This window comes from Homo sapiens, chromosome 19 (assembly GCF_000001405.40).
Source record: "Homo sapiens chromosome 19, GRCh38.p14 Primary Assembly".
Taxonomy (NCBI): Eukaryota; Metazoa; Chordata; class Mammalia; order Primates; family Hominidae; genus Homo; species Homo sapiens.
In genome coordinates, this window is record NC_000019.10 from 52223335 (window position 1) to 52231269 (window position 7935).

The following is a 7935-nucleotide window of genomic DNA, read 5'->3' on the forward strand; positions in this document are numbered from 1 at the left end:
GTTAGCGTAGGCACAGATTTGTTAAACAGCAAACCAGAGGAAGTGATGGGTAAGTTGACCTTCTGTAAAATGTAACGCTGTTTCTCAAAAGACAGCATTTTGAGAGTAAAATGCAAGCCACTGACTGGAGGAAGATGTTTTAATATATGTTTCTGAGAAAGGACTCATCCACAATACCTGTCTACAAATCAGGCAAGACAAGAAAGAGATGGGGAAAAAGACTTGAATAGGCACTTGAAAAAGGATCTCCAAATAGCCAGTAAGCATATGACAAGGGTGTTCAGCATCATTAGCCTTCAGGAAAATGCAAATTAAATCTCAGTGACATATGACTACACGCCTCCCAGAACAGCCAACATTAAAAAAGACTCAGTGGTGCAAATGGTGAAGACATAGAAGAGCTGGAACTCTCATCCATTGCACGTGGGGCTGTACATTTAGGGTTTGATCACTCTGAAAACGGGAGTGGATCTGGAGTGGAATTTGGTGAAGCTTGTTATACAAACAGCCTGTGAAACAGCCCTTCCACTCCTGGGTCTCTATCCAGGAGAAATGAGTGCTGTTTCTGTCAGAAGAATGTTCATGGTAGCTTTATTCATAGTAGCCGTAAAAATGGAAACAACCTCCATGTCTGTCCACAGTAGAGTAGATAAATTTTAGTTCATTCAAACAGTGGAAAACTATTCAGCAGTGACGAAACAAATGCCTGCTATAAGCAGCAACAGGTGACTCTCACAGATACCATGTTGAGTGAGGAGCCAAAATCAAGAAAACACACCATTTATGTCAAGTTCAGAAACAGGCAGAATGAAGGAATCGAGATGATGGAAGTAAGAATAGTGGTTATTTGGGGAGAACAGGGAACTGTCAACTGAAAGTGTGGGACCCACAACTGCAGATTTCTCTTTCTGTCTGTTCCAGGACACAACCTCAGCTTTAGTTTCTCTCCGAAGTCCCCCTCCGTTTTCCAAAACAATTGACTCTTGGTGCAGGCGGATTTCCCTGGGCCCCATAGATGAGAGTGGATGCCTCCTCTGGGCTCCTGGAGGACCAGGAACTTCCCCTTGGGGCCACTTACCACTCCCCTCTTACGTACCAGTTTGGTCTCTTCCTCCTGGCCCGGGTGCCTCATGGCAGAAATCAAGAGTGATTTAGCTCTGTATTCACTCCTAATACATTGTAGGCCTCAGTGAATATGTGTGAAATCAATGAAAGATACCCATTTGCTGGGCCTCAGAGACTTGGGGGTTCTGAGATTCTGTTCCACTTTCCCAGCCTGCTCTGATCTCCCTGTTTGGGGCCCCAGTCCTTGTTTATCATACTTCTGACCTTTAAGTAATTGGTTGGTTGGTTGGTTTTTTGCAGTTTGTTTGGTTTTCCTTTGAGGCAGAATCTCGCTCTGTCGCCCAGACTGGAGTACAGTGGTGCGATCTCGGCTCACTGCAACCTCTGCCTCCTGGGTTCAGGCAGTTCTTGTGCCTCAGCCTTTCAAGTAGCTGGGATTACAAGTGTGCACCACCATGCTTGGCTAATTTTTGTACTTTGAGTAGAGATGGGGGTTTTCCCATGTTGTCCAGGCTGGTCTTGAACTCCTGGCCTCAAGTGGTCTGCCCACCTTGGCGTCCCAAAGTGCTAGGATTACAGGCTTGAGCCCCCGTGCTCGGCCTTGAGTTTACCTTTTTTTTTTTTTTTTTTTTTTTGAGACGGAGTTTCGCTCTTGTTGCCCAGGCTGGAGTGCAATGATGCAATCTTGGCTCACCACAACCTCCGCCTCCCAGGTTCCAGCAATTCTCCTGCCTCAGCCTCCCAAGTAGCTGGGATCACAGGCGTGCACCACCACGCCCTGCTAATTTTGTGTTTTTAGTAGGGACAGGGTTTCTCCATGTTGGTTTGGCCAGGCTGGTCTCAAACTCCCAACCTCAGATGATCCACCCACCTTGGCCTCCCAAAATGCTGGGATTACAGATGTGAGCCACCACGTCCGGCCTGATTTTACTTTTAATTGACTCATAATTTTATATATTTATGGGGGTATAGTAGTGTTTCAATAATGTGTGCAAATGTGTAATGATCAAATTAGGATAATTAGCATATCTATCACCTTAAATGTTTACTGTTTCTTTGTGATGAGAACATTCAAAATCTTCTCTTATAGCTGTTTTGAAATATGCAAAATGTTATTATTAACTATGGTCACCCGCCTGTGCAGTGATCAGAGATTTCTAATTCCTGTGTGTGCCCTGGATTCTTGAGACTCCTCCCACCTTGGGTTTGGTGTATCCGTGTCTGTGTACACTCTCTTGCCCAAGAGCCCTGTGCCCACCTGTTGCCCCAGTCCATCCTGGCTCACCCTCTCTCTCCCTGTCTCCTTTCGCTTTCCAGCACCTTGCAGAGTGAAGTCAAGCCCATCCTAGAGAAGCTGACCCAGGACCAGGATGTGGACGTCAAATACTTTGCCCAGGAGGCTCTGACTGGTAAGACCTAGAAAGCACGGAGCCCTAGCAGGAGGGTGGACTTTGAGGACAGGCACTGGGCCTGTGGGCAGCAGCTTCTGGGAGGGGGAGGTACCTTGGCATTGTGGGCAGAGAGAGGGCTCTGGTTCTGATTCTTGCCTGTTCCTGTTTTCCTAGTTCTGTCTCTCGCCTGATGCTGGAAGAGGAGCAAACACTGGCCTCTGGTGTCCACCCTCCAACCCCCACAAGTCCCTCTTTGGGGAGACACTGGGGGGCCTTTGGCTGTCACTCCCTGTGCATGGTCTGACCCCAGGCCCCTTCCCCCAGCACGGTTCCTCCTCTCCCCAGCCTGGGAAGATGTCTCACTGTCCACCTCCCAACGGGCTAGGGGAGCACGGGGTTGGACAGGACAGTGACCTTGGGAGGAAGGGGCTACTCCGCCCACGTCAGGGAGAGATGTGAGCATCCCGGGTCACTGGATCCTGCTGCTGTAATGGGAACCCCTCCCCCATTTACTTCTCCACCTCCCGTCCTCCCCATCATTGGTTTTTTTTTGTGTGTCAACTGTGCCGTTTTTATTTTATTCCTTTTATTTTCCCCCTTTTCACAGAGAAATAAAGGTCTAGAAGTAGTTGGTCCTCTGGCCTTAGTCATCAGCTTGGAGGAGGGGGCACCACCCCAGAGCCACAACATCTGCGCTTTTCTCTGGAGAAGATCTTGTTACAGGACCCATTATACCCCTATGTCCCGAAAGAATACTCTGGGGATCCCCCCAGGAGTGCTGCTGGCCTTTGGGGTAGAGGGTCCATGAGGTGCTCTGGGTGGTGTCCTGTAGTGCAGTTCAGATTCATAGATGTCGGCCGAGTATTTGGGGGGTTAAGAGCAGGTGCCTTGGAACCAGACTGCCTGGGTCCAAATTGTGGCTCCTTCAGTTAATAGACGTGTGACTAGGAGTAGCTTGTTAAGTCTTTATGAGCTCAGTTTTGTATTGTGTAAAATGAGAGTTACAGTAATACCTAGATTGCAGGGTGGGTGGCGAGGACCAAGTGAATTAGTACCTGGAAAGTGTGTAACAGTTTCAACATGAGAAGTACACAACATGAGAAGCAGAGTTAGCTGTACATTGCCAGAGAACCCCCTGTGGGCCATTTCCTGTGTTCTTGAAGAAGACTTGGGCTTGGACCCTGTCCCCAGGAGGTCTCAGAGTAATCAGGACGGTACTAGGGAGAGAACTGTGGCAAGATAGATCAGTTATCTCGGTATCTATTCTCCCCTTCCTAATGTAGAAGCTCTGATTTTTAACTGGGCAGATGACTACATGGATTCAAGGTATTTTCCTAGTGTCTCTTGAAATTAGGTGTGGTATTGTGACCAAATTCTAGCCAAAAAGATGTTGAACAGAAGTGGTATATGCAGCTTCTAGGAAGTGTTCTTAAGGGGGAAGGCGTCATCCCCCACCTTTCCTCCTTCCTGCACTCTGGAATGTGGACCAGATGGCTGGAGTAGGAGCTGCCACCTGGGGCCAGAAAATGATCTTAGGCGTGAAGGTCAAGTAAGGCAGGACAAGAGAGAAGGAGCCTGCCTCCCCGAGGCTGTGAAGAGCCATGCCAGTACTGTCACCTGGGAGAATTAAACTGGTCAAGTGCCTGTTCGTTTAGGGTTTCATCACTTGAAGGTGACCGGAATTCTAACTGATGGAGGGAGGGGCCCAGAGCACCCTGGAGAAAGGAGCAAGGGACGTATGGCTGGTGGTGTCTGCATGGAAGGGTTTCACAGAGGAAATGATGCTTGAGCACATTTTGACCCAGGTGGTGGAAGGGAAATGTGGCTTTGAGTGACAAGGTGATTTCACCAGCTCAGCCTTCATATTACCACATCCCTACCCTTTGTTAGACTTTATTGTGCCCTAGGGGATGAGGCTGAAGGAGACCAAAAAGCATCTTTAGAAATTTCCATTTATGCCCTGGGCGATAAACTCTCTCCCAGTTGAGAACTACTGCTCTAGAAATGTGAACACACGTGTAACCAAACGTCAAAGTCTGACATTAAACTTTGACTTTCCCCATGGTTAACGCTGCTGGTCCATTGTAACAAGAGTGCAGTGGACCAGCAGCCTTTGCATTCTCAGGAGCTTGTTAGAAATGCAGAGCCTCTCGTCCCTGCCCCGACCTGCTCAGGCAGAGCCTTCATTTTAACAAGATGCCCAGGTTCATCTGCACACTGAAGTTAGAGAAGTCCTGCCTTAAATACTAACCCAGTTTTTCTCTCTTGAGAGTGAGGTTAATGCTACGTGGGTCTAGGGCTGAGGATGTGCTATGGCTCAGAGGTGGGGTCTACAATTGGACATGTGTATGTAGACAAGGCTCAGGGATATGTTGAGGCTGCTAGATTGGGCAAGTGATGGAATGGGATTATTACAGGAGGTGGAGGTGCGATGGATACCCAGGATGTGCTGGGTAATGAGGTGATACTCAGCGACCACAGGAGTGAGTATGAGAGACGAGGGTGAAGGATAGCTTGAGTTATTGAACGCTGGCAGAGTCCTGAGTTAACCAGGAGTTGCCTGGTGTCTTGGGTCATGTGCTCTAGAAGCAGAGCCCGAGTGGAGACTCGTTCAAGTGTGTTACTGAGGGAGTGCTCTCAGGAGAACGGACTGAGGTAACTCACCTTCTGTGAGCTTCATGTTGGAAGAATCCAATCAGGTGATGAATGTGATGTTATTAAGTCCATTGTTAGGAGTGGTTCCTAATCTCCCAGGCTGCAGGCTTTGTTTGCTCCATACACCTGGCCTTCTCTGTAGCAGCTGAAGTTTGATGCTGGAGCTGGGTCAGGGTGGAGAGACTGTGTGGAGCCAGGACTCATGACCCTGGCCTGTTTCTCCCGCTCTCTAGGCCTAAATCCCAGCAGTCACACTGGCCATCTCTAATGGTTCCTTCCACAGCACTGTTCTTCAGAGCCCACACACAAATTTTGTCTCCTTTTGTGATGACTGCACTTCTTTGGCTGTTTTTGCCAACAGCCTCTTCACTGACCCCTTCCTTCCACTGCATTGACCCAGACATCTGGATGTGGATGAGGTCGAGTCACTTGTTGCCTTTGGCTAATGCATAGGGGCACGAGTAGAGCTCTAGAATCACCATGCCCTTGACTCAGGGTGCAGAATCTGCCTATGGTGCTTGAGCTGTGGTTGTCGCTAGAGGAGAATTACCATGGCTCCCCCGGGCAGATGAAGATGACGAGGTGGTGCCTCAGCCCCGAGGAGTGAACTGCAGGGCACCGACAAGATTCTGCCTGTGGCCATCAGGGCTGGAGGGAAGGAGGCCAGGTTCATCTACCCAAGCTGGTGGCATGAGGCATAAATTTAAAAAAATTGGTGTGGGCACAGTGGCTCGCACCTGTAATCCCAGCGCTTTGGGAGGCCGAGGTGGGCGGATCACCTGAGGCCGGGAGTTCGAGACCATCCTGACCAATTCAGTGAAACCCTGTCTTTACTAAAAATATGAAAAAATTAGCTGGGCGTGGTGGAGGGCGCCTGTAATCCCAGCTACTCAGGAGGCTGAGGCGGGAGGATTGCTTGAACCTGGGAGGCAGAGGTTGCAGTGAGCCTAGATTGGGCCATTGCACTCCAGCCAGGGTGACAGAGCAAGACCCCATATGAAAAAAAATAATAATTCAGGAACTTGTCAAAAAGAGAAAATCCAATAAAGATTTAGTGCCAGGCCTTGACTCCAGCAGGCCTTCCCCGCTCTCTCGATGTCTTGCCATACAGAGCTGCAAGGTGGTGGGGGGTTACAGGCTTTGTAGGGCTGGATTTTTCCCAGTCGGCCTCCAGGAAGGGTAAGAGACTAGTAGCTCGAAGTTTGGGTTGGCTGATTGGGTCCTTCCCAGACTTCGGAGGAGGGAAGGGAAACCTGAGGCCCCAACTCTTCATGGGGAATCACTGCTCTCTGTCCCCAAGAGCACATGCCTTTCCTGACAGAAGCTGAGTAGCGGGAATCTGCTTCCACCCACCCCTTAGCTTGGGCTTAGGCTCAGTCCCCACCCTGCTGTTCCTGTACCCTGTGCATATTCTAGAGCAGTAGGGAGAATGGGCCTTCCCTGATGCTGAAAATAAGAATGAGGGGCTAGAACTCCAATCTCACTCTCTAGGCAAATGGCAGATGTTTATTATTCATGAATACTGTTGAGTTAATTCAGGTCTGTGTTCCTTTGCTGTTACTCCTCTTTTTTCGTATATTTTGTACAGATACTAAGCTTTTATTTTATTTTATTTTTTGAGACGGAGTTTTGCTCTTGTTGCCCAGGCTGGAGTGCACTGGCACTCCACCTCCCAGGTTCAAGCGATTCTCCTGCCTCAGCCTCACAAGTAGCTGGGATTACAGGCATGCGCCACCACGCCCGCCTAATTTTCTATTTTTAGTAGAGACGGGGTTTCTCCGTGTTGGTCATGCTGGTCTCAAACTCCCGACCTCAGATCATCCGCCCGCCTCAGCCTCCCAAAATGCTGGGATTACAGGGGTGAGCCACCGCACCCAGCCATTTTTGTTTACTTTTTGAGATGGAGTCTCGCTCTGTTGCCCAGGCTGGAGGGCAGTGGTGCAATCTCCACTCACTGTAACCTCCACCTCCTGGGTTGAAGCGATTCTCCTGCCTCAGCCTCCTGAGTAGCTGTTACTCTTAACATGGATAAAAATACTTTAAAAATTTTTCTTTTTTGGGAAACTAAAAGATATGCGATTCTCAATTGATTATTCAGTCTGTGGCCTTCTACTGAAGGAGCATACAGAATCTCACCTCCAGGAGCATGGAGCTCTCTTGGATAGGATCCTGCTTTCTGAGGCCAGAGCTTACTCTCCTATGTGATCAGAGGCTTTCACAGCATCCGCAGTGGTCTCCAGATCAGCCCTATCATGGAGGCTTGGTCCAGAGATCTTCATATGAAAAGGGAAATAATAAGTGTCTGGGAGACACTTCTGCAGGGATCCTGCCCTGTCTCAATAATCTCCCCCATGGCCACAGAAATACCCTGGGATTTTCCCAGGAGCTAGCCGACACACACAGATAGATTATGAACTTCAGATAGAAGCCCCAGCCTAGCCCTCACTCTGATACCTGTCATCCCCAAACTGCTCTGAAGTGCTTATGTGCTGGTATCTCCCAAGAGTCTGCATGTCAGTGTGTCTGTGCTAGTGTAATTTATTTAGAAAAGTGCAAAGGCAAAGGGCAGGATCAACAGGCAAAGGGCAGGATCCTGGAGGCTGGATCTAGGGTCCTCTTACCTGATTTATGTCACTGATTTTCCCAAATATTGATAAAAATGAATTGATCTCTAGGTGGCAGAGAAACAGGAGGAACCCTAGACTACATAGTAAGTAGAAAATAATGCTGCATGTCATTTAGATTGAGCTCAGCCCTGAGTCATGAAGTCTTCAGAACAAAGGAATAGTTCTCCCTTATCTGATGCTCACTGTGGCCTTGGGCA

The 7935-nt window shown here is 48.8% G+C and overlaps 1 protein-coding gene across 3 annotated transcripts in view; it reads left to right on the forward strand.

Annotated features, from left to right (window-relative positions):
* The window catches only part of PPP2R1A (protein phosphatase 2 scaffold subunit Aalpha), a 39467-nt gene extending 33283 nt beyond the window's left edge, over positions 1-6184 (forward strand). For all 3 annotated transcript variants that reach the window (NR_033500.2, NM_014225.6, NM_001363656.2), the window contains 2 exons: positions 2383-2474; positions 2631-6184. Coding sequence is in view for 2 of the 3 variants with exons in the window: in NM_014225.6 (NP_055040.2) it covers positions 2383-2474; positions 2631-2647 (109 nt within the window). In the remaining variant the exon portion in view is untranslated. The remainder of the gene's footprint in view (positions 1-2382; positions 2475-2630) is intronic.